This window comes from Homo sapiens, chromosome 11, assembly GCF_000001405.40.
Source record: "Homo sapiens chromosome 11, GRCh38.p14 Primary Assembly".
NCBI classification, from domain to species: domain Eukaryota; kingdom Metazoa; phylum Chordata; class Mammalia; order Primates; family Hominidae; genus Homo; species Homo sapiens.
This window is the reverse complement of record NC_000011.10, coordinates 31,420,198-31,447,278: the sequence shown is the minus strand read 5'-3', so window position 1 is coordinate 31,447,278 and position 27,081 is coordinate 31,420,198. Positions and strand designations below refer to the sequence as shown.

Here is a 27,081-nt window from a genome sequence, read left to right as displayed (position 1 = left end):
ACTTGGGAGGGGGGACATCTAAGGGTAGACTGGGAGAGAAGACTTAAATAGCTTTCAGGAGGCTATAGGAGTATACAAAATTTGCCAGACATTAACCTCTCAACTTTCTTTTTCGATGTGTGCATTCATTAATTCCACAGACACTTACTGAGCACTTACTTGAGGGCCAGTACACGTTAGGGTAGTCATCTTTGCCCCCAGCAACACCAATAGAACTTTCTGAAATAATGGAAATATCCTGTATCTGTGCTGTCCAATATGGTAGCCACTAGGCACACATGGCTGTTGAGCACATGAAGCATGGCTAGTGTGTCTGAGGAACTGAATTCTTAATTTTATGTAATTTTAAAATTTAGATAGCCACATATATGACTAGTGGCTGCCATATTGGACAGTGTAACTTTAGGAGGTTATAGTTAAGTTGGAGGAATAGATGAAATTACAGTATAGTATAATAGAATTAGGCACAGGTGCTTTGATAAGACACAAGGATATTTATCCAGACTGGGTTAGATGGGATTTTTCCAGAATGGGAAAGTGAAACCTGAGTTGAAGTTTTAAAGGGTAAGTAGGAGTTAGTCAAAGAAAGCAGCATATTCTGAAGGCCTAGAAGTAAGTACAGCATTGTGCTTTTGGGGAACTGCCAAAAGTAAGAGTTCCAGTGTATGGCACATGTAGTAGGAGGGATGAGTAGTAAGAAGAGATAAAAATGAAAGGTATAAGCCAAGCATGGTAGTCTGTTACGTGGGAGGATGGCTTGAACCCAGGAGCTCAAAGTCAACCTGGGCAATATAGCAAGACCCCATCCCTAAAAATAAGAATTAAACAAGGCTCAGTTCCTTTTATGTTTCAAGCAGGGGAATAACATGATCAGGCTTAGTTTTTATTTAGTTTCTGTGGGGCCATTCTGTTGTTAGTGTAGACTATTAGAGGATGGCTAGGATTAGGAGAGCCTGGAGGCAGAGAGACCAGTTAATAGGCTGTGAGTGAGGCATAACTGAGATAATAACATCGAGAATAGGAAGAAGTACAAAGATTGCAGAAAGATTAAGGAAATAATCTAGAGAAGATTGGATGCTGGAAGAAAGGGAATTGAAAGGCTTAAAAATGACACCCAAGTTGTTAGTTCTTGCCACAGGGTGAGTGGTACAATAAAATAGGGTTGTTGGGGGAGATGTTAATTTGGGAAATGGAAAGAAGATATATAAAATTTTGGACAAGTGTAGAAGTCTACTAATAAGATTAAGGTAGATTATATTTTAAATTAATACTGTGGCAATTAAATTTTACAGCAAGTAGCAAAAAAGTACTGCTTTCCCCAGATGACATCTGGATGCTTTGCTATTCCCTCCTTGATGTCCATAGTCTGTTTCTGTCTCCTAGTCAAAACAGTGTTTTGATGCGCTCAGCCCTAGATCATTCTTACTTTTTAAAGATCTTCAGCTATTCTCTTTGTATCATGCATCATCACTAAAAAATGCCATCCGTCTCGTGCCACTGCACTCCAGCCTGGGCAATAGAGTGAGACTCTGTCTCAAAAAAAAAAAAAAATTCATCTGTCATCCACCTGCCTAATTTGCAATTTTGTATTCACAAACCTAGATTTTATTCTAAATAATCTGCTGGGTTTGATACATTAGAGTTGTGTTTCGATGAGTAAAACACAAGCAGGAGAAGTCTGTCAAATATATTCAACAATGCCTGTTTTTAAAAAAATGCATCAGTAACATCAAGTACAAAAATACCTACATATTTATTTTTAATCATTTCTTTTTTGAAGTATGGCAACCTTTCTACTGGTAATCTATTTCTAATACCCTTTCAGATATAAATCTGTTTTTCTGGCCAATCTCTATGTGAAGCAGCTATGTACAGCAACAACAGGAGATTGAAAAGAGCAACAGAGATTCATCTGTAGCAATAAATCCATATAGGATGAGTTTGGATTTGGGAAAGAATTAAGTGGAGTGCCACGAATAAAACTTTTGGTGGAAACATGTTAGTACATACTGTGTACAGTATGCATCTAATTTACTGTTCAGAACTGTTTTTCTGAGAGCATGAGAAAACTCATTATTGTAATACTTAACACCATTTTCTACTACAGTCTGAAATACCCTTTGTTGAATTAAGTTGGGCTCATCCTTTGGAAGGAAAGCAAGTATATAGATCAAGCTGTATTAAAATGAAAGTGCAGAGATAGTCTTAGAATGAGAATATAAAGTGCTTTTTTTAAATCCAAATCTCAAAATAGCAGGTAACATTGTATTTACAAAGAGACAGAGGTAAAACACAGGGACAATAGTATTGGGAGGCATGGATAGAAAGGCCTATAAACTGGCTTCAGTCCCAACCCTCTTCTCCATCTCCTACATTCTGACTAGTTGGTAAATGGTTCTGAAGAAGTGGATGCTTGATAAGGGCCTAAGCATTCAATATTTAATAAACATTGCTTGATGAGCATGCCCATTTAAGTTCGAGACCAGCATAGTGAAACCCTGTGTCTACTAAAAATACAAAAATTAGCCAGGCGTGGTGGTGCATGCCTGTAATCCCAGCTACTCTTGAGGCTGAGGCAGGGGAATCGCTTGAACCCAGGTGGCAGAGGTTGCAGTGAGCCAAGATCGCGCCATGGCACTCCAGCCTGGGCAACAGAGCAAGACTCTGTCTCAGAAAAAAAAAAAAAAAAAGAATAGAAATGTTAGTTTTTACTGCTAATCTAGGATGATTTTATCTTAAAAACTGAATTTCATTAAATTAGGTGGCATAATTGATGTGGTACTTACTCATAATTAATGTACATTTTTAATTATATTGGATTCAAGTCAAAGACTTGGGTAACACCAGAGCTATATAATTGAATATAGTGTAAAAGAAAATAACCAGAAACATAAAGTAAAATAGCAAAGCACAGTTAACTTTGCAGAGATCTGGGTAGACTGCCTGGGAAACCAGGGACAAAGAAAGCCCAATAGACATAATTCACACTGGCAAATGTGGCAGCTGCTAGTAAGTGCTCTTACTGATTGCTTCCTGGGTGCCAGGAGTCTTGTTTCATTTGGTTCTCATAGTATTTCTGTAAGGTATTTATTAGTCTCAGTTGTATTGATGAGGTTTAAATAACTTGCCCAAGGTGCTTAACTAGTATGCAAAGCTGTATTTGGACCTCAGGACTATGTGTGACTGTGTGGACTGTATTTTTAACCACTATCCTAAACAGCCCACCAGAGGTTACTATTCAGGCTAGATGGAGGTATTGAGAGCTTAGGGAGAAGATGAAAGAGCTTATCTTGCAATCGCCACGAGAATGAGCAAGTCAAGCCTTAGACTAAGCTTTAAACCTACTCAGCAGGGAGAAGCTCAATAACGAAAGAGAGACTGTTAGTAAAAAGCATACCCCTTACTCAAACCCCAATGCTATAGGTGTAGCCTACTGAAACTTTTGTGTAAATTCCTCTTTGGTGATGACTGGCTATGAATGTAAGGTGGCACCATTTTTAAGAAGGGAAGGGCAATAACAGTTCCCAGCAATGATGTAGATAGGACAGCAATGAGGCTGAATTTTAAAAGGGAGAAAAGGAAGCAGGACCGTATAGAAATAGTACGTATTAAAATAGTCAGTGTATTAACTATTCTGTGCCTGGTCTCTACAATCCCTTTATTATGCATCTAGCATTTGGAAACACTTCTATCAGGACTCCAGATACTCCTCGGCCTTAATTAGCTCAGGTAGACAGAATGTGGGCAAGTAGTTAGGGCGAGGAGAATGACAATGAAAATAAGTAAAACTGTTCCTTGAGTTTGCTTTGAGAGATACCCAGAACTGACATTTCAGACACTCGCATTTTTAAAAATTAATGTTTTCTCACCTTTGTGTTCTAAAAGTCCCTTCTATTTATTGTATCTCAGAATTTAATTCTTCACTTTTTTACATGTGTTTTTGTTTATAGCTTCTGCTGGCACTATAGGAAGGGTAAACAACTATTTACTGATGGTGCTTCCAATTTTGCTGTTACATGACTCAAACAAACTGGGTTTTATGAGATCTTTTTAGAAAAATACTAATAAATTATTCATTTTCAAATATTATCTCTAATAGTGTGCATAGGATCTTAATATGGCCACACTTTGGTTACATAAGTCATGATTAAGCAGAATATACAGTGGCCACATAGTAGGTATAATAACTTGATACTGCTTTTTTGTAAGATAATAAGATAAAAAACAATTACATAATATTAATTATTGGACTAAAATGACATCTTTTTAATATACATTCATCATATAGACTTTTTTCATAGGCAAGGGTATTATGCATTTTATAGCCCACTGATTATTCCATTAGACACAAAATAAAATCTTTGAAACATGCAAAATGAAATACTTTTGAGACTAGAGTATCGTTGCTCTATCAGTCGTTTGTTTTTACTAAATAGAAGCAAAAAAAGACTATCTGATTGCTTTCATAAATGTGTGCTCTTTTTCTTGTACATTACAGGAAAATGAAAAAATAATCATTAAAAAAAGGATTCTAAAAACTTTGTTCCTCACCTTGCGTCATAATTTTGTTTGTTTCTTTCATGACTATTGTTTTGTTTTCTTTGCGGTCATTTTAGAACCATTAAAGAAGTACGAGCAATAGGTAGGGCCAATGCAAACCCTACCATTGCTGGTTGTAAACTATAAAATATATGGCAAATAAAGTGTTAATTAAAAATCAGTCTGTTCTTAGGATTTTCTGGTTTTTGAAACTTTTGAAGGTCAAACATACAACTATTTTTTAGCCAGAACTTTTCTTAATTAGATGTTATTTGCCTAATCAAATAAATGAATTTGATTACAGTTTAGTAAATGTGTTATTTGATATTGTGGACTGTTTCATCAGATTTCACTTGAATCAAGAAAGGTAACACCTGTGTATTGCCTCCACAAAAGCCTCTTTTGTTAAATGGACACCCGCAGGCCATGAGGCAATTACATTTGTTGTTTGTGCTAAAAAGGAGGCACTTAACTAGACCTCAGTAAATATAGCTGAGAACTAGAGGCTTGATTCTTTTGTCCAGCCCTGAGATTAGGTTTTATCATAGCTCAGGAAGTAAACCTAGCTCAGGAAGTAAACCTCTGTCGTAGAAAGGAAAAACAAGAATGATTTAAAGGTCCCTTTAATGCCTTAAAATTTAGCTGTAAAGTTAGCTATATCTGAGGCACATGGAGAATTCAGGTTTGGGCAAAATTAAAACAGTTTATGGCATTCATGAAAACATATATTCATATATTCAGTCTTATGCATTCATTCAAAATGGCATAGCATATTTACAAGAGTACAAAATTAATCCAACTTAAAAGTTTTGATTATGAGACGTAATGAACAAAGAGATAGAATTAGGCATTTCCATTTTGGGCCATTTGTAAAACATTTACTATAAATGTGTTTATTAGAGTGGTTTTCAGCCTTAGTTGTAAAGTTATCATAGCTTTTAAAAAAACACATTTTATTATCTGTCTCTGTGAGCACAAAAAAAGGAAAGAAAAATACATGTTAATCTACCATTTTATCCTCTTCATATTTTATTATTATAATATTGCTATAGAATTCTTTTTTCTATTATCTGGTTTGAATTTTCAACTTACTGACAACTAGTAGGTTAATCTAACAGACAATAACTGTGTTTAAAGTTAGAAAGAAAATGTTCTGTTCCTTGCCTCATTCCATATCAGGAAAGTCAGGTGTTGTGTTTCAGACCCAAACCAAAAAATGTGTTTTACTGTATGTTTGTTTAAATGTGTTCTTGGCTAGAGTAATATTTTAGTCATCTGTAGATTTGATGACAGTACTGTGAAATAAATGACAAGTCATTTACTTGTACTGTACAAAGAAGCATATCCTACTATATGGATTAGAGGTTAGGTTAACTCTCTTTCCACACTACCAAAGACAAAAAAAAAAAAAAAAGCCCAACCCTGAAACACCTTTTAAAAAAATTCAACAAGCTCCCCCAACCTGCATCATGAAGGATGATGCTCCCTTTTTTAAAAGTATGAACATCACCAAAAGGGTTAAGCAGTTTGTATTTTAAGACACACATACACATATATTTCTGTGTATATATACATATGTATACTTTAAGTTACTTAAATAGTATGCACTGGTCATAAAAATGTATATTTTGAAATATATATTTTAAAAATTTTACAGTTATACACATTGCCCTGCAACTTATTTTTTCCTCTGGCTATCTCATGGAAATCTTTCCATTATTTATGTATTTATTTTTACTGGCTGTTTACTAATATATAAAAGAAAGATATTCTATTTAACCTCTGCCTACTGAGGAACATTTATGCCATTGCCAGTCTTGAGATGCAGAAAATACCATAGTGAATTTCCTTGTTTGTACATAATTGCCTGCTGAGTTTGGCAAATCTTTTCCAGAGTTTTGATAGGGAAAGGGTAAAAACATAAAGGAGACTCCACTGAAGGGGATGCAAGATGGAGATGCCAAAGCACACGTCACACATCAAAAATTTTAGTCTTCACTGAAATGATTCTCTTTATATTGTTGCAAGTATGCTAAAAAAGTATTTTAAGGCTGGGCGCAGTGGCTCACGACTGTAATCCCAATACTTGGGGAGGCCGAGGCGGGCAGATCACTTGAGGCCAGGAGTTTGAGATCAGCCTGGCCAACATGTTGAAACCCCATCTCTACTAAAAATACAAAAATTAGCTGGGCATGGTGGTGCATGCCTGTAATCCCAGCTACTCAGGAGGCTGAGGCAGGAGAATCGCTTGAGCCTGGGAGGCAGAGGTTGCAGTGAGCCAGGATTGCACCACTGCACTCCAGCTTGGGCGAGAGAGCGACATTTTGTCTCAAAGAAAAAAAAGTTTTTTTTAAATTATGTAATTTGAACATCTGCTTCTGGCAGTGATGGAATAACTGGTCATGAACTTGCCCTCCTGCCATAAACAACTAGAAAACTGGACAAAAATATGTGAAACTACTGTTTTAATACATTGCATAGCAGGCAGTATGAAACTAATCCTTGAGAGAAAGGAAACAAAATAAGCCTGTACTTGCCCCAACTTCTGTCTTAAAGCAGTTTTCAGATAACAGTACAAGGAGGGAAAGTCAAGCAAAGCACAGGTGGTCTTTGCTGAGTTGAGACAAAGATTAGGGTACAGGTATGCTTAAGTGGTTGGGATTTATAAATCCGACTACCATGGAGCAAAGAGCTAAAGAAAGATCTCCAGAAATCTACGTAGATATTCCCTTGGCTTTGGGCTCAATACTAAATTGTGCCTGCTTATGGTGAAACTTAAAGAGACTGAGGAATGAATGACTGCTGGGGAGCTGTAAGCCAAAAAGGTCCCAGAACTCACACAGAGCTGAGAGACATTTGTGTTCTGACCAGCCAGTGTGGACAGATCTTGTTGATATCCAGAACTTTCAGTAGAGACTCTGGAAAAATCAAATCTTAGTGGTAGGACTAAAATAGCCCTTAGAATAAAATGTAAGATAAAGACCCAACCTAGCAGGCTTATAAACAAGGCTTGAAAGGAATAAGGTGACTGCCGCTAACTTAACTACCTCACAGAAACCAGACTCCCTCAACATTCAACACTCTATAAAAACAGACAACAAAATCTACTCAGCAAGTGAGTGTCCAGTTTAATCAGAAATTACCAGATATGTGAAGAAGCAGAAAAATGTAACACATAATCAAAAGTAAATCAGTTAAATAGACCCAGAAATGACAGAAATTATGGAATTAGCAGAGAAGCACTCTAAAACACCAATTCTAACTATTTTTGAGGATCTAGAGGAGATGAACATATTGAGGAAATAAATGGTATAAGAAAGAACCAAATGTAATTTTTAGAGCTTAAGAATACATTTGGTGGTCTTTAGTAGATCAGAAACTACAAAAGAAAAGATCTGGGAATTTGAAGACAGCAATTAAAAGTATACAAACTGAAGGAAAGGAAAAAGTCTGGAAGAAAAAAAAATGAGTAACCCATAGGACAGGTCAAGCAGATTAACATGAAGGCTATGGATGCCCCAGGATAGTGGGTAGAAGAGAAGGTGATCTATACATTTTTTTCCAATTTTGTCCAAAATGATGAATCAGAGATCCAAGAAGTACAGAAAGAAGTTCTGGCCTAATACAAAGAAAATCAAACCAGGGAAGACAGAGAAAATCTTAACCAGAGAAAAAATATATTACATACAACTGAGAACAAGGAGTTTCTGCTGATCTATTATAAAAAACAGCAAGAAAAGAAAATGAAATCTTTAAAGTGTTAGGTGGGGAAGCACTGTCAATCCAGAATTCTGTATTCACTGATGAGGATGAAAATATACTGCTGCGAAATTCTTTCCTTTCTTACCTTACATGAAGTGGTATAATATGTGAAGATAGTTATACCTGAAGAAAAGGTGGACTGTGATTAATGATGCATATTGTAAACCCTGGAGTAACAACTTCAAGAATAAGATCTATGTTAAATATGGCAATTGAATAAATGAAAAAATTCAGAAAAATAATCCAATAGAGAGGAGGAAAAAAGGAAACAAAAACAGATGCAACAAATACTTCACATCATGCACAGAAGTTATCTCAAAATGGATCACATACCTAATCAAAGCTAAAGCTATAAAATTTGTAGAATATAGTATAATATGTTCATAATCTGGGGGCAGGTAAAGATTTCTTAGGACACGAAAAGCACGAAACACAATAGGAAAAAAAGTATGAATTGGACCTCAGCAACATTAAAAACTTCTGCTTGTCAAAACATCATTTAAAAAGATGCAGCCTGGGAGAAAATATTTGCAATCCCATCAAAGGACTTGTATCCATGGTAAATAAAGGACTGGTACAATGAATAAGAAGATAACCCATTTTTAAAATGGCCAACATATTTTAATGGATACTTCACAAAAGATAATACTAGTATGCATAATGGAAAAATGCTTTCATCAGAGAAGTGCAAATTAAAACCACAATTTAATATCCTTAACCTGCTAGAATGGCAAAACATTTAAAAACTGATAATACCAAGTGCTGGAGAGGTTGTGGAACAACAGGAACACAGTCATACATTGGTTGTTGGGAGTATACAATAGTATCACTTTGAAAAAGGTTGGTAATTTCTTTAAGGTTAAACATAGACTTACTGATGACCCAGAAATTCCACCCTTAGATACTTACTGAAAAGAAATAAGACTTGTACATGAATGTTCACAGTGCTTTATTTTTACTAGCACCAAACTGCAAACAACCCAAGTATCCACCTCCAGTTTCATAGATAAACATTGTGGTTTACAGTGGAATACTTCTCAGAAGTAAAAAATGAATGACTTTTACATACAACATAGATTAATCATAAAAACTTGCTAAGCAAAAGAAGGCAGACACAAAATAGGTACTTTGTAATTCCATTTATATGAAATTAAGCAACAGGCACAACTACTATCTAGTAACAGAAAGCAGTTCACTCGTTGACTGGGTCTAGGCATGGCGATAGGAACTGACTGCAAAGGAACAGAGGGAACTTTTCGGCATGGAAGAAACATCCTGTATCATTGTGGTTGTGGTTAGATGGGTATGTACATTTTTCAAAACGTGTGTCAAAACTTAAAACAGGTGCATTTTACTGTATATAAAATATACCTCTATAAAATTGATTTTTAAAGTGAAATAAAGTTCTCACTCTTTTCCCCCATACCAAAAATAATTATATATTTAAAAGGAGGAGTAATTGCAAACATTATGTTTTTTTACTGGTAAACTGAGTATGGGTTGAGCATCCCTAATCTGAATATGCGAAATCCAATATGCTCCCAAATCTGAAGCTTTTTGAGTGCCTGTGTGATGCCACAAGTGGAAAATTCCACATATGACTTCACATGACGAGTCATAGTCAAAACACAGTCAAAACTTTGTTCCTTGGACAAATTATAAATACTGTATAAAATTACCTTCAGGCTATATATATATGAGGTGTATATGAAACATAAATGAATTTCATGTTTAGACTTGGGTCTCTTCCCCTGGATATCTCGTGTATATGCAAATATTCCAAAATCTAAATATATGAAACCTGAAACACTTCTGGTCTCTAGCATTTCAGATAAGAGATACTCAACCTGCAACTTATAGAGGTGGATCAGCAAAGATGCCTGCTTTAATTTTAAAAGATCTGTACGTAGAGGTTTTCTTGTTTTATAGAGATCTTGTTAGATTAAAGGTAACATCAGTGATGAAGCTGTTTCCTTGATTTGTGTACTTTACATGAAGTGTTGTCTGAGATGTAGGCAATCCCTTTACTGTAAATGGATGCATGGTCATTAACATGTATGGATTTCAGGTAATGAGGAGTTAGCATGTCTCATATTTGAACCTATTTCTTTTTCCTTGACTAAATGTCAAATTTAGTACTTCACAGGTTATTTTAAGTATCAAATGAAAGGCTCCTGGTCATATGTTCTAGATGTTTTTTTTAGAAGATTCCTTTCTGTAGTTGTTAATTATATTACTCCAGCGATGGTTGGGCGCACTGGCTCACCCCTGTAATCCCACCACTCTGGGAGGCTGAGGCGGGTGGATTGCTTGAGGTCAGGAGTTCAAGACCAGCCTGGCCAACATGGTGAAACCCTGTCTCTACTGAAATAGAAAAATTAGCTGGGTGTGGTGGTGGACACCTATAATCCCAGCTACTTGGGAGGCTGAGGCAGGAGAATTGCTTAAACCCAGGAGGTGGAGGTTGCAGTGAGCCGAGATCACACCACTGCACTCCAGCCTGGGCAACAGAGCAAGACTCCGTCTCAAAAAACAAAAATTACTCCAGAGATGATGTCGCTAATTTGAAAGAAACTCAGGTCATAACTGCTACAAAAGTGACCTAGCTAATGGCAGTTATCATTGTGCTTTCAAAGAATTTCTATTTACAAGTATTTAACCACCAGCAAATATCTGAGTTCCACTTTTGGTTTAGGTACTGTAAATAATTAAAATCATCTTTTAAAAAGCATATGGATATAAAAGTAAATACTGCATAAAAAACTAAAAACTTTGTGGAACATAATATAAAAAGACAAAAAATAGATTGGGAAAAATGTTTGCAATAAATGTATTAATCTTTGTATTATATAAGAAATACACATAGATAGGAAAATTGAGATCCCAAAGACTAATATATGCAAAAGTAGGCACAGACTATTCACTGGATATTAAATTCAATCAGAAAACACACAGAATAATATTTGACACTGCCAACAATCAAATAAATGCACAGAAAAATATTACCAAGGTATTAAATTAGTTATTATTTACAAAAATTAAAAACGTTCATCCAAGCCTTATAACCATTTGTCAGGATGTACTCCCAAAGAATAAAACAGTTAAATGTAAAAGAAGAAACCATGAGACCTTTCTAAGAAAGACTCAAAATTCAGAAGACATGAAAGCAAAGGCTCATAACAGAAATGAGAAACTGGGAATATTTGCTATTTGTACCACAAAGGGCTAATCTCCCTAGTATTGAAAGAGTGCTTATGAAATGAGGGAAAAAAAGGAGATCAATCCAGTAGCCAAATGGCAAAAGACATGCAAAAAGATATCACAGAGAAGGAATTAAATGCCTCTTAAACACGAAAAGAAGATTCAGCTTCACTCATAAGACAAAGGTATCATTTTTTGCCATATATATTGGCAAAAATCTATTAGATTGGTGCAAAAGTAATTGTGGTTTTTGCCATTAAATGTATTTTGCGGCAAAAACCGCAGTTATTTTTGCACCAAACTAAAATGCAATAAAAGTCAAATCATGGCATTACTGCCTGTTGGTTTATTCTGGTATAAAATAGTAAAAACTGACAGAAAAGCCAAGCAGGTTAAAAATAATATTAAAGGTTATAATGTAGGGCCCCAAGCAAGGCTGACTTTGTGTGTTAAGTATTGGAAACAATCAGGTTGGTAAGGGCAGGCAAGTTTAGGGAAAGCTTCATGAAGAGATGGAATGTAGAAACCACTGATCCTGGTTCAATGGGATGGTCAGACAAAGATATCCCTAGATTGTTGATAGTTGCCTTATTAGTTTGCATAATGTTTTAATTTTACTTTTACTGGTGTCCATAACTACATGGTTTTATTTATTCATATATATTACCTGTTTTTAGAACTCAGGAAAAAACACATTTTAGGAAGAAACTATGGAAATTTAGACACGAAAGATGTTCACCTTATAGCTTTATCAAATAACACTTCAGAATGTTAATTACATATGGCTTTTCCAAATTCATTATTTTGTTCCTTTTTTGATGACTGTGATGTACACACTTTCCTACTAGAGCAGTCTTACACTTCACTGCACATATGTCTATTTTATTAGATAGCAAGGAAGTGGCCTTGCTATTGGCCCTTGGACAAACTAGTTCCAGTAATAAAAGTGAATGATCATACAGTTTCTGATATTCTTTCAGTAAACTTATGTCCTTTTTCTACAAATAGATTTAATGTTTAAATGTATCTAAACGCAGAGTTAATTTGGAGATTTTTGGCAAATATTTGTACATAAGACTTTCCAGAATCTTAAAATCGCTTACGTAAGTGAAATTCAAATTTTACATTCTTGTATACATTTACTTTTCAAGAAAGTAATTTGTGATTAAAAAAAAAAGTTGCATTATCTCTTATTAAACCCAGTAGTGTATTTTTCTTCATAAAAGGTTTACAAGTAAAACCAGTCAAAAGAATAGTGAAAATAAATTCCTTCCCCATACATAGATCATTTTGGTCTGGTCAATAATTCAACTGTCTTAGATAACAAAACTGTAAAATAAAAACTTTTAAAAAGCAATTTTAAAGATTGTTGCTGGAAAGTAAGTTTTTTAGTTTACATTGAACAGAAATAGGCAAATGTCTCATATTGCAGGTGGCTTAAAAAAAACAATGTATTCTGTTCTAAATATGCTTATGATTGTCACTGAGTAAAAATCTTGTTATTTACCAGTTTATACATAGAACATTATAGGAGATAGTCTTTTCATTTAGGAGAAGGTCACCATCATTAATTTTACAACTGATGATTTTATAATAGGTCCTTCTGGTTCTTCATGGTCATTATTGAAGTATAATGCATTGAAGATATGGCCTGTACAAAGGCAGAACAGGGATGTTAATTAGAATTCTGACAAGCCTACTCCAATAAAATGATGAGATTATTTGTAATTGATGTCACAATCAATTACCATTTAGTTCATCATGAGCATTCTAATAGGTTTGGCTTTGGTATTGGCCCCAGGATGTTGCTGAGTGAGTGGCTGCCCTGCTTATACTGTTATTGAGACACAAGGGCGCATTTTCAGTCAGCATCCTAATGACCTCTTTTGAAGTCTATTAAATTAATGACCCTGTCACACTATTTTGATCTCTTATAACCTCAGTTTGGGGTTTGTATAACAAATTAATATTTGGGAACCATATGACAAAAAAAGATGATAGGTTTTTAAAAAAGTTGAAACCTTTGATATTTAGTAAAAGTTATTGTGCAAGAAATAAAAGCAAAAATGCAATATTAGGATTTGTATCTATTCTATAAAAGAGAGCCTTAGGACATTTCTCCCTACCTCTGAATGACATGCTTTTTAATTATAGTACCCAAATTAGGTTTTATCTTTAAGAGGCTGCATTTCTTCTCTAATTCTAGGTGCCAATGGGTCATGTTTGGTTAGAAGGTGACAATCTACAGAATTCTACAGATTCCAGGTGCTATGGACCTATTCCATATGGACTAATAAGAGGACGAATCTTCTTTAAGGTACCATTTTCTGCTTAAAATGTAAGGTTTATTTTCTGAGCTAGAAAAAGTTTCTCTCAAAATGATCTCTGAAATCTTCAAGCTGTCAGTGTACTTAACTGTTGCACCGAATATATTTTTTGAACCTGTTGGCCTTAACTTAATAGCCATATGCAAACCTATTCCCCCATTGCCCCTGCTCCCATAGAGATAATAATAAAATCCAAACTACCTTAGCTATAGCCTAAGAAAACTTTAATTTGAATTTCCAAAAGTTCAGTTCTCTCTTGTACAACTCTTAAAACCATGTTCACATCCTGCCCAGGGCATATTTTAATAAGCATGTGCAGAAGAACAGTCTAGATTCAAACTACCTGTAAAGTAGGGATACCCCAGTTGAGTACTGTGAGTCACAGACTTATTGTGAATGTATGATTATTAGGGAAGATTGTTTTCACTGGCCCCTCCTTTTTATCACAATCAGTGAGGAGAAAAACATTCATGAATACATGGAGCTGTTGGATAATTTACAGGATTCTTTACATTTAAAACAGATGCCATATTCAAGTACTTAAACCTAAGCCCCTTTGGTTGAAAGTACACAGTTAACTCTTACTTGCAAGTAGTAAAAGAAAACACAGACCATATATTCATACATATTTATTCACACACCACACACATATAATTTCATGTACATTGTTTGAATGTCCCAAACTTTGGAGTTTAAACATATATACACATAAGTTTATTTTCTCAAGTCTTACTTTGATGTAGAAAATTTTATTCTTGATTGATGAGTAAGGAGAAAGTGTTTATCTGGCATAGAGAAAAGGGACAGATAGCAAAAGGGAATATGATGATACTATAACATTACTTTCACTAATTGTCTTCAACCTCATTTTGATTTTACAGATTTGGCCTCTGAGTGATTTTGGATTTTTACGTGCCAGCCCTAATGGCCACAGATTTTCTGATGATTAGTAAGCATTTATTCTTTTGACTTGATTATTGTCTCCTTTTCATGTGAATTTATTACTCCCGTTGAAACCGTGTACTTACCAATAAACTATTTGCTATTCAGTTTTAGTTGTTTTTAATTGTTAAATGTAAAGAATATTCAACACACATTCTGCCAAGTTCTGTTAGTTCAAAATATATGGATAAAAATGTAACCCAAAAAAGTCATCTAAATTTTATGATACAAAAATATTGTGGGAGGGGGAACCTGGATGACTACCTCACTTTTGAATTCTTGTTCTTATAGGTATAATGAAACTAATCTATTCTTCTTAAATATACCTCATACTTTAGCAGCTACATTTACAAGTCAGAGTAGTAACTATTCGTATTTATAAGTTCAACCTGACAATGCCAGGTTTGATAAAAAGCTGCTAGTCTACATGCTCAGCCCACTCATTTGAAATTAAGTAAAAATGTTTCTAAAGGATCCCTTAAAGTTCTTTAAATGAGTTCTGACTTTTACTGTACACAAAATATTAAATACATAGAAAAATGCATCTTTAAGGCATATGCCATCTGTAGTTGGCTATAGTCAATAATACTTTATAAAAGTTCATTTCAGCATAGCAGCAGTGCAATGGCCCTGTCTTCATAAATACAGGCATTAATACTATATCTTTTTTTATTTATTTTATTTTATTTTTTTTGAGACAGAGTCTTGCTCTCTGTAGCCCAGGCTGCAGTGCAGTGGCACAACCTCGGCTCACTCTGCCTCCTGGGTTCAAGTGATTCTTGTGCCTCAGCCTCCCGAGTAGCTGGGACCACAGGCAGACACCAACGTGACTGGCTAATTTTTAAAAAAATTATTTTTAGTAGATATGGGGTTTCACCATGTTGGCCAGGGTGGTCTTGAACTCCTGACCAAAGGTGATCCGCCTGCCTTAGTCTCCCAAAGTGCTGGGATTACAGATGTGAGCCACCATGCCTGGCCCCAATATTATATCAACACTCCAAAATAAAAGGGGAAATAATGCACCAACTTCCAAGTCATTATTTTTAAAAAAGCTTCTGGCCAGGCATGGTGGCTCACGCCTGCAATCCCAGCACTTTGGGAGGTTGAGGTGGGCGGATCATTTGAGGCCAGGAGTTCAAGACCAGCCTAGCCAACATGATGAAATCCCATCTCTATTAACAAAACTTAGGCCAGGCACGGTGGCTCAAACCTGTAATCCTAGCACTTTGGGAGGTCGAGGCAGGTGGATCACCTGAGGTCAGGAGTTTGAGACCAGCCTGGCCAACATGGTGGAACCCCATCTCTACTAAAAATACAAAAATTAGCTGGGCATGGTGGTGGGCACGTGTAATCCCAGCTATTCGGGAGGCTGAGGCTGGAGAATCACTTGAACCCAGGAGACGGAGGTTACAGCGACCTGAGATCATGGCACTGCACTCCAGCTGGCGCGACAGAGTGAGACTCTGTCTTAGAAAAAAGAAATTAAAATTAAAAGCTTCCATTTCCTAAATTACATTTAAATTTGAAGATGGCAGTGTTTACAAGCTTTGGAAATACGGACCAAGATTGGAGGCAACACTTTCTACAGTTGCCACTTTGTCTTTATTAACTTTGAAATAACCTTATGAATATCCATAACCAGCCTTCCTTATGGAAGAACTGGCCTCACATTATTCACAAAGATTCTAGGTGTACAACAGCCCCATAACTTTAGCAACTAGAAACGTTATCGGTTAGACCAGAAACTTAGTAACTATAAAGGAATATGATGATACTGTTACCCACTGAAAAGAGGAGACATGCTCATATTAAGAAAATTCTTATTTTGTGTCATGGAAAAAAATGACATAATAAAGTTCTCAGATGGGAATTCACCAAATATAATCAAATCTATTTTTGTGACAACTTGTAAATATAAATTATAAATACAAATAAATAATTATATTCATTCTCTATTAATCTGAGGTGGTCTCTGCTTGATAATTGTATATTTTCTTTGCAAATAATCGGGCTGACAAATAATCCATTTCCTTGAATGGACAAAGCTCAACGGCTTCTCATCATGTCTCAATACCACAGTTAAAGCATTTCAAGTTGTGAACAATTTTAGTTATAATGAAGGAGTTCTATAATTAGTGAACATGTATCACAAGAAATCAGGCTAACTTCTTCCGCTTCATCCTTGGAAACACTGTATTTTCCACCACATCTGCAACTCAGATAAAAAGAGTGATCACCTGCAAAAGAAAACAAAATAATCTTTCAAAGACTTGTAAGTAACTACCTCACTAATACCCTTAAAAGGTGCAGAGTTTATTCCATAGGAATTGTAAAACAAAACAAAGAAGCTCAGTAAAGATAAAATGTATTTAAAGGAGAACTGGATTTCTTGAAAGGGGCAGTGTTTCTAAAAATTATCTACCAAAGAATCTTTCTCTGTAGAGGAGATGGGTTGAAGCTATGAATTAAAAGTCCAAGGATTTTGGGAGGAGAGGGCATGCTCAGAAGTAACCCATGAAACTTATTTGAAGTTTTATGTTTTCTTAAAATTCATATAAATTTTACATTCTTTTCAACAATGTATTTGTCTAAAATATTACAGTGAAGGAAAAGAAAAACAGCCCTACCTGTCTCACTGTTAGGGAGGATGATGCTTTTGCCTGAAGTCTATCCTTTAGAGAAAGCCAGACTATTTATCAAATGCAACATCTGGATACTTTCTCTTCTAGTGTCACACTATTTCAAGAATCTTGACTTAAGTCTATAAACACAACACCATGTTGTTGTTGTTTTTTTAAATCCTATGGGGGTATGTGTGTGTGTGTTTGATGTTTACAAATGATACATGAACCAACAAGATGCTGAAGTGAGATGCCCAAAGGAGGCAATACGGTGCAATACTTAGGCTCCTGATCGTGGAAATTTTAAGTGTGTCATTTTCCTGGGAAGTTGAAATGCTTGTGCCCTTTGACTTAAAGAATCTCTGATCCATTGGTCATTCCATTTTACTGTCTCTGAGAAGTAACTGTCAAAGGAAAATAACTTATCAGTCACATTATTTTACCACCATTATAATTGATTATTACATAAATAAGTCTCAAAGGACTCATGATTTCATACAAATATCTTCATTCCATTATCAAATTTGATTAATACTTAGATCGCATCATATGTAGTTTAAAAAAGAAAAATTCCACTGCCTTGTACCTGCTCTCTTATCAAGTTCAGCCTTGGAAAAACTGGCAATTAAATAAGCTAACTTTATGTGTTTTTTTTTTTTTTAATCAGTAAGGAAAATGAATTCATTCACCTAATCCAGCTTTTTATTCTTTACCACAATGCCTTTGCTCTCCATACAGAAAAATAATTTAATCTTGAATTCCAAATGCAAACATCTTCCCTGTCTAAGCCAACATCTATGTACTACAGCATGTTCTGAAAATGAATTTTTTTATTATTAAATTGTCTAAAAAGATACATATTCTAACCATTGATTTTCCTAAGCTAAATCTCCCCCTACCCCCTTGTTTTTCTACTACCTCAGTGAACCCTGAAAAACAATTTGAGTTGACATGTTCTTGGTAAATGACACAGAGGACACCATGGGCTACTGTGGAGTTTTGTCATAGATGACTCCAAATGTTAATGCTCACTAAAAATTCACATCTTGTAAAAGTTCTGCTTATATTATTATACCATCAATCTTTTAACCAGGTGATAACTTTTACAGAAATCATCATTTTAAATACTCTGAATGAAGGCCAACAAAATGACCAAGGCATATAACAGACTAACTGTAAGGGCAAAGATTAGCTTCAATATCTGAACAACTCACATATGCCTTTTAAGCATAATAAAATGCATCATTTCATACTGCCCTTTGATCAGGCAACCAACAATTTGGCTATGTCTATCCTGTAGGGTTTCATGAACTTTTCTCCTGTTCTGGAGCTTCACTTTCCATAGCTATTCTGCAAATGATCCTAAAGGGATCTTCAAACAAATTTTTCCTTTCCTAGTTGATCACACTTTTTATTTAATTTCATCTGCCAAAATTGCTCTTTTTAATTGGAAAAAAAATTTAGCTCAAAACTTCCATGATTCGTTTTTAAGTATTTCTACAAGAATAATGGTTTCATGTAGCTCTTGCTCAGTATTTTCTCTCATTAAGATAAGAATTATTTCCATCTTTAGTTATGAAAACCTAAGCGTCTAAGGGCATCCTATACTTTTAAGATTAACTGTATTGGCTATGGATGGGATTCTTCTATATCTTCTTTACTGTCAAATTTACTTTAGGGAGTTCCAGGGGCAATAATACATTGATGATAACGCTTGATGATTTTTTGTTGTATATTTCCTTCCATATGTTAGCATTTTCATTTGTATCAGAAAGTCCATGTATTTATTGACTGGACAGATGCTTAAGCCATATTGTTTCTTCCTTTTCTTTTTAAAAATATATATATAATATACTTCTAATCTTTCTTGTAGAGATGTGGTCTTGCTATGCTTGTTTTTTTTTTAAATTTTTTTTTTTTTTCCTATTCTCACAATCTGTTCTCACAGTCTTCCTATGTTGCCCAGGCTGGTCTCAAACTCCTGACCTCTGCGATTCTCCAAACTCAGCCTCCCAAAGTGCTGGGATTCCAGGCTTCCAGCCCGTATTCTCATTTAAAATTAAGATCTTAACATTATATTGTTATATATTTAAAAGGTAAAAAAAAATTTATAAAAACCAGTTTTCACTATTTTCACAGTCATAAACAAAATATATTACCCATATCGACTATAGCAAGAACTAATTTATTAAGACATTAAACACATACAAACATACATATACATACCAATAGATAAGGAGACAAACTATATTTTCAAAACATATTTAGTCTCCTTGAAGTTTGTGTATTTGGCAAAAAATAAAAAGTATATGTGTGTATATATACATATGTGCATATATTTTTTTTAACTGGGCAAGTCTTCCTGATAAATGACATATTCTAGAGTGTCCCTTCCACACACCAGCAGTGAAAATCTGTATCACTAGTGTATTGTTTTCACAGTATTTCTTCGTGTTTACTCTGATGAGACTGTCACCACCAAGAGCCCCAGTTACACAAAACCTCAACTTTTCCAATTATTCACTGAATTTCTACTCTAGGATTTCACTTGAGGGGTTGGGGACAGAATGGCCCCAGAGGCAAAGACATGATTCCCTTTCTAAGTTAGGCTTGTGACCCACGTCTTAGGGGCACTAAGTTAAGAATTTGCCATTTAAAAAGTAAATTTGGTTTCAGATGGCTCTGTTTTTGTCTTCTACCTATCCACACTCATTAGTAGATTTTTATAAACCTGGAGGGAATTTGTACTCATGCTGAACAATAAGGTTAAAAGGTTAAGCATATATAAAGATTCTAGGAAATAGTAAGATTTTCTTCATTTGCCCAGAGAAACAAGTAAGTATGGTACTCATGGCTTCTGTTTAGTAAAGTGTGTTTCCCAATGTAATGATGTCTAACCAGAACAATTCAAGGAACCATCAGAAGAATAGGGAAACGACATTGAATTTAAGTTCTAAAATTTTAATAACAGAAAAGCAAAAAAGACATGACTTCATGTTGCATCAAGGGAAATGGCAGATATTCTTTTCTTCTTATAAGACAATCAGTATGTGAGCGTTAAAAAAAAAAAAAAAAAAATCAAGCCTCTTAAAAGCCCTGTCCTGACAGTTTATGATTTTATATAAAGGGAAAATAAAAATTCTAATAGGAATTCATCTTGTCAACATTAAAAGGAACGGAAAAAAAAAACTATCTTGTTTGACATTATTTACCATACTACAATACTACATAGACAGTAATGCAAAAACTAAAGTAAAAAAACACAACAAAAAAACTCTTATGAAACTTTATGTTCCTAACATCTAATTAGAATATAAAAATAACTGGAAATGAGTCATATAGGGGGACATCAGTCAATAAATAAAGTTTAGAATTAAGCAGAAATACTCCAGACAGAAACACTTACCACATATATATAGAAAGCCACACTATTATTTCTTTTTAAGATTTCCAAATATCCAATGAGTTTTTTTTTCTTATAGAAAATTCCTTTTTTTTTTAAATGTTGTCAAGAGAAAAAAAAAATCCAACCTTCATTCCAAGACATTTCTTCAAGATATACTTGAGCATCTACTGGTCCTACATTTCTTAGATCATCTTCTGTAAAACATAAAACATGACACTTAATTGTAAAACATGATACTTTAATTGTAACCTTGAAGAATGCTAAAAAGGCAACGCCAGCCTGGCCACTACAATTCTAACTTACCTATCACTTAAAAACTTAGACTAGTATTTTTGACAGCAGTGTTAAAGTAACCTGACTTTAGCTGACTGAAAAATCTAGAACATAACATTTCTTATAAATTTTTTGTCAAAATCAATCCCGTTTTTCACAATCATGCAACATGGAAAGGCATGAAGTTAATTTTGATGATTCTTTGCAGTCAACTAGTGACTTCTATTTTGTAAGCAGTAGGGAAATGTTTTTTGTTTGTTTGTTTGTCTTTTGTCAGATAAACTAGCTAAGAAAGCAGTGTGGACTTAGATAAAAATAACTATCTGAACCTTAGTTATAATATTTTACTAACTTTCTAACATTAGGTGTATTGGTTTGTTCATCTCTAAAACAGCAGTTATCTCTTCTTATCTGCTTCAGGAGGGTTGCTGTTGACCGAATTGTGTCCCCCTCAAATTAATATGTTGAAGCCCTAACCCATAATTTGACTGTTCTTGGACATAGGGCTTTTAGGAGGTAATTAACGTTAAATGGAGTCATAAAAGTGGGGTTCTAATCCAATAGGACTGGTGGCCTTAAAGGGAAGGGATTAGAGAGTGATCTCTTTCCACACGCACCCACACATAAAGGAAGGAGCATATGAAGGCACAGCAAGAAGGAGGCTGTCTGCAAGCCAGGAAAAGAGCCCTCATCAGAAACCGAGTCAACCAGCACCTTGATCTTGGACTTGTTAGCCTCCAGAACTGTAAGAAATACATTTTGTTTATGCCACCTAGTCTATGGTATTTTGTTATGGCAGCTGAGGCAGACTAATAGAAAGCTGTTCTCCATATCAAATGAGATCAGACTAAAAGTGCTTTAAAAAATAATGCTCTATCCAAATGTAAAAGCCTATTAATCATTTTACATTTGATTGTTTGCAAGAGATTAAGTAACTTAAAAGAATACTTATTTCAGTATTTCAATAACCCCACAACACAAATGTATTGTGTTGATGTTCCATTGCTGTTTCCTGGTCCAAAGTTTTTGCTGCAGATGGAAGGTCCAAGGAAGCCTGGAATTCCACCTAAGCTTTGTAACAGGAGCATCTACTCTCTTGCTTAAAACAAGTGTTCTTTGGGTCAAAGATGGCAATCAAAGATGGGAAGCATTTGTCTTTGTTTTAAAAGGCAGGTTATATTTCCTGTATGCTTGTATTGTTCTTCTAGAATAAAAAAAAGAAGAAAAAAGAAAAAAACAAAAAAAAACTCTACTAAAATCCACTCCCCACCCCAATAAAATTTTCTTTAGCTGTCTCACTAGTCTCTTGTTCACTTGCTGAGAATGCTTCCCTTTGTTCTGTGACATGAATGCCCTCAATTTAATTATATTTAGTAACTGCCTGTTCAAAATTTATTAGTGAGTTACATAATTTTAAAATAGATAAAAAGATTATACAATATTGTGAACTCACCATGGTTTTCTATTAAAGTATGTCAGATATTATACCACTTCATATTTACTGGGTACCAGTAGTCTATTAGACTGTCCCTAAAATCCAAAGATAAGGATTTTGCCTAGTGGTCAGAGATAGTTCCTCCATCTCTGTATGTCTACTGGATAGCTTATGCAGAATCTATCTGTATGCTAAGTAATTTCTGAACAAAACAAGTTAATTTCCACATTCTATGTAAAGTACAATAGGCTATATGCTCTTCAGATACTCCTATTTTTAAAAAATTCTTCTAAAATTTTCATGAGTGGGGACAAAAATCTTAATCACATTTTAATTTCTTACTCAGAAGGACCAGGGTTGTTTGCTAGAATTGGGAGATTAAACACTGTTTCAGATGTGAGGAATGGGGGTAATAATTGGCATTTAACAAATCCTATTTAGGGTAAAAACAGGTGTAATAAATTTCTAACAAAGTCACCTGTATTCCAGGGTATCTTATAGACATTTTAAGAAATTTTGAAATCAATCAAAGCAAATCAGACAAGAGAAATAATGACAAGATGAATCAGCTTTCTTAATCTAATCTATCTTGAACACCTGTAATATACTAATTGTACAAAAAGACAACCCATTCATATATATCCATGATGCCATTTTTTATTTAAAAATAATAAATTAGAACTGACTTGCAAATACAACTGCCAATCTACTGGGAAGCTATTGTTCTTCTCACATAGTTACTATTTCATGTGCAACCCTTTCTATTATTCTACTTACTCAAAAAAGTGGCTTTTTCAGTTTTATTACTATCTTTTCTTCATCCCTATGCAGAGGAACTTTAGAGTAGCCACCTATTTCTTGGTTGAAAAATTAGCTTAGTTAGACCATATCTCATGGTAAATATGAAAAGAGAATACACAAAAATGGTTAGTACCTTGCCCAAGGTCAGAGTTACAAGGATTATATTAAAACATTTTCATATTCTGTGGCTGTCTAAACATCTGTATGTTGACCTGATTATTCAGTACCATGGGCACAAACAGTCCAGGTTCCTGTAGGGATTCTGGTTTCAAAAAACCAGTATCTGACAAAAAAATATAACACACTGTATGATTACCCGTTACACAAAATGTTAACTGGCAAAACTACCCTATGATGGTGGGGGAAATGAGGAGTTAGTGGTAACTGGAAGAAGTCATAAGAGGCTTTCCAGGTCAGGCACTGTGGCTTATGCCTGTAATCCCAGCACTCTGGGAGGCCGAGGCGGGTGGATCACCTGAGGTCAGGAGTTCGAGACCAGCCTGACCAATATGGTGAAACCCCATCTCTACTAAAAATACAAAAATTAGCCAGGTGTGGTGGTGTGCGCCTGCAGTCCTAGCTAATAGGGAGGCTGAGACAGGAGAATTGCTTGAACCCAGGAGGCAGAGGTTGCAGTGAGTCGAGATCCCGCCATTGCACTCCAGCCTGGGTGACAGAGCGAGACTCCGTCTCGAAAACAAAAAACAAAAACAAAACCAGAGGCTTTCTGGTTAAATGGGTGTGTTTACTGTGAAAATCCATCAAGCTACACACTTAGATTTATGCACTTCTCTGTATGGATTAAAATTTTTAAAGTTTTAAAGGTAGTGTGTTGAGACTCTTAAGTGGCTACATTTTTAAATAGAAATAAGCAAATAAAAGGAGAAAGAAGAAATTCAAGAAAGTGTATATTCTTTGAAAGGATGGTAATCTAACAATTTCTGAAAAAGGCTAGGGGTGATTAACTTGGGAAAATTGGATCCCTGGAGAACTGTATAATGAGCAGACGTGGTACACACAAGTAAAAGGTGAATCTAAATGTGGGCAGTGGGGGGTGACCAAGATCCTTTGTTGAGAGGCAGGTGTCCAAGGATGGGGCAACAGCAAATTCCCTCTCCTCAAACCCCACTACAATTACAAAGAAGGAGCACAAACAAATCAATGTGTTTTTTTTTCTTTTTAAACAATGATCTCTGCTTGTCCACCATTGTGGTTATAATTAAAAAACTTAATTCTTCCCCATCCTCTAAAGTAACTTACAGGAACCCTGTAATTAGCTTTAATAATTGTCTACTAATCAGGCATGGCATTTTCAAAACAGATAAGTTAGTTTTCTTTTGTAGTATTGCATATTTTTCTCTTGTAATAAAACATTTTAATAGGTATCTAGAAAAGTAAATCCTATCTCCTAAAGTTCCCCTGTTAACATGACACTACTAAAAGGGTTGAGAAAACATAAACTGATTTAGAGAGTGATTTAATTAAATGAACAGATCCAAGATATTAAATCTGGAATTTTTGACATAGAATGGTAGTAAGCATTTTGAAACAAAATACGGCCATTCGGAAATAAAAAGCATTGTCTGGCATATGGTATACTCTTATAATGAGTCCAATGATACTAAAAGATTCCTGATTCTTTTGAAGTAAATGGGTTCAACTTTTTCTGAGGTATCTAGGAACATTAAGGTCTGTTCATACCCTGTGCTGTGCTTACAAGCTTAGCCAAATATGGAAACAAGAAAAACTTCCAAATCTATTTACATAAAGAAGTCAGTACATTATAAAGAGAGGTTCTTGAGAAATATAATGTTAAAATCAAATAATGTATGTGCTTACTTGAAAAAGAATCTTTCAACCTTTAGAAGTATAGGCCCTTCTGACCTTGTGTTCTATTGGATTTGTCTGACAACAAGAGGTGAAAGAATTCTGTGGCTCCATTGTCTCAACAGTGGGATCTAAGAAAACACTGGCAGGACTCATCAGAGAGGTTTATGAGCCTGCAATTCAAAGAGATTAAAAGGAAAATCTACGGAGATTCTTTCACACTGAAGAATAACATTAAATAACTATTAGCAGCTTGGTTCAGTAAAGCTTACTAGAGCTCTCGCTGGGTCATTCACAACTTTCTAAAAGAGGAAAGGTTTTTTTTCAGCTCCATTTGGGAATCAATAAATATTTCTTACTTCTTACAAGACAATGGAATTCCTGTCTTTTTAAGCTTCCTCCTAATGATAGTAAAATTTCTAAAACAACTCTTTGTTTCATGCCTAAATAATTACATATCCTAATCCCAGGAAACCTTTTCTATCTGTAGTTACAATTTAAAAAATAAAGTAAAAATAAAAAATAAATAACAGCAACAAAAAGCTACAGGGGAGAAGAATTTAACTTTATTCATTATGGCCAAGATATTTTGAAGTCTCATTCAACCCCATCTGGCCAAAAGATCAAGTCCACCTGCAGCTCTGTCCATAATATTCATGTGCGGCAATGCCATGTTATTCACATGATCATCACATCCCCACGATGCTCTCATTTAGCAATTAGTCCACTGTGTTTGTTTATGTCATTTCAAATGTTTAAAGTTTATTTCAAACTTAAAGACACTGGTGTGTAAGTTAAAAATAAACAACAGTTTTTCCTTTAGGTCTAATTCAGTATCTTGCTCTCTTAAAACCAAGTAATTTAATTTTAAACCATCACCTCATTCTTAACACTTCACTATACATAATTACATTTTTTATGTGGGAAGTAACTTGAACATAATCAGTTTCCTTGTCTTTAACATGCCTCTGCTCTTGAAAAATTCTCTACCTTGATAAGAGATTGAGAAATAGGCAACATTTAATTGGAAGCCTGTTCTTTAAGTCATAAACCCTATAATCCTTTCCCAGATGAAACTGAAGAGTGATTATTACAAGGCTTTCCACACTGAAGAAAAACTACAAACTTGGAACCTGATTATGAACTTGAATAACTGTGGAGCTTTTATAAACTGTAGGTAAACCCAGTGCTCACTGAAGGTACCAAATGAAACCCACAAACTGATTTCCTTCTGCTTCACTATAAAACAGGTAAAACAGCAGCAGAAGTAGGCCTGGTATCTTGTTCTGACCCTCAAATATCCCTCGTACGTGACTATCTGGAACTACAAATAGTAGATTGTACACAACTCATACAAAATAGTGATTGAGAAAAAATGGCTTTGAATTCCCCCCCGATCAACTACTTTATGTGACCTTAGTCAAATTAGTAAACCTGAAAAACAGATATTCTCTGAAAAACAGGTATTAATATCTTCCTCACAAGGTTGTTAAACAATGTTTAAAAGAACTACCACAGTTCTAGTGCTTAATAAAAATCACAGTTATTTTTAAACTGCTGTTATCTCTCACTGTTTGTGTTGAGCTATCTATACCAGACCATAAGAAAATGACTAAAAACCAATCCATTATTAGTAGGAGAAAAATACCTCAAGTACCACAGTGTAGGAAGGCAGCAACTCTTGACTTTGGATTTATAAGTGCTGAAGTCTGAAGTACTCTGCTATTGTAGGTCCCAATAAAACGGACCTACAATTCTGTGTCTTTAGTTCAGAGAGCACAAATTAGATGGATTAGAATACCAGAAGGCTCTGGTGGGTGGTGGGAAGTTGGGAGTAGGGGAGATGGAAGGACCTAAGTTGAACCTTGAACAAAGAATAAGAATCAGAACAGGAGGATGGTTCTGATTAATAACAAGCAGTATAAACAGACGTGTGTCTGGGAGCCT

The 27,081-nt window shown here is 35.0% G+C and overlaps 2 protein-coding genes across 14 annotated transcripts in view, besides 1 other annotated feature; one reads left to right on the top strand and one right to left on the bottom strand.

Moving 5' to 3' along the window:
* The window catches only part of IMMP1L (inner mitochondrial membrane peptidase subunit 1), a 77,222-nt gene extending 62,344 nt beyond the window's left edge, over nucleotides 1–14,878 (top strand). For 12 of the 13 annotated variants that reach the window (XM_047426521.1, NM_001304274.2, XM_011519947.3 and 9 more), the window contains 2 exons: nucleotides 13,709–13,819; nucleotides 14,711–14,878. In XM_047426521.1, the coding sequence (XP_047282477.1) occupies nucleotides 13,709–13,819; nucleotides 14,711–14,779 (180 nt within the window). In that variant the 3' untranslated portion in view covers nucleotides 14,780–14,878. Of the gene's footprint in view, nucleotides 1–13,708; nucleotides 13,820–14,710 lie in introns of those variants that run through there. The other variant, XR_242781.4, reaches the window with a different exon arrangement.
* Nucleotides 4,900–5,100: a silencer, noted in NCBI's record as "peak1238 fragment used in MPRA reporter construct". NCBI's record gives its function as "represses an SCP1 promoter by STARR-seq MPRAs in K562 erythroleukemia cells {active_cell/tissue: K562}" and the evidence as "EXISTENCE:reporter gene assay evidence [ECO:0000049][PMID:32103011]".
* Nucleotides 14,444–27,081, bottom strand: part of DNAJC24 (DnaJ heat shock protein family (Hsp40) member C24) — a 62,976-nt gene continuing 50,338 nt past the window's right edge. Inside the window, exons 4-5 of the mRNA NM_181706.5 lie at nucleotides 20,924–20,992; nucleotides 14,444–17,008 (exon numbers count right to left, since the gene is read on the bottom strand). Of these exons, the coding sequence (NP_859057.4) occupies nucleotides 16,878–17,008; nucleotides 20,924–20,992 (200 nt within the window). The 3' untranslated portion in view covers nucleotides 14,444–16,877. The remainder of the gene's footprint in view (nucleotides 17,009–20,923; nucleotides 20,993–27,081) is intronic.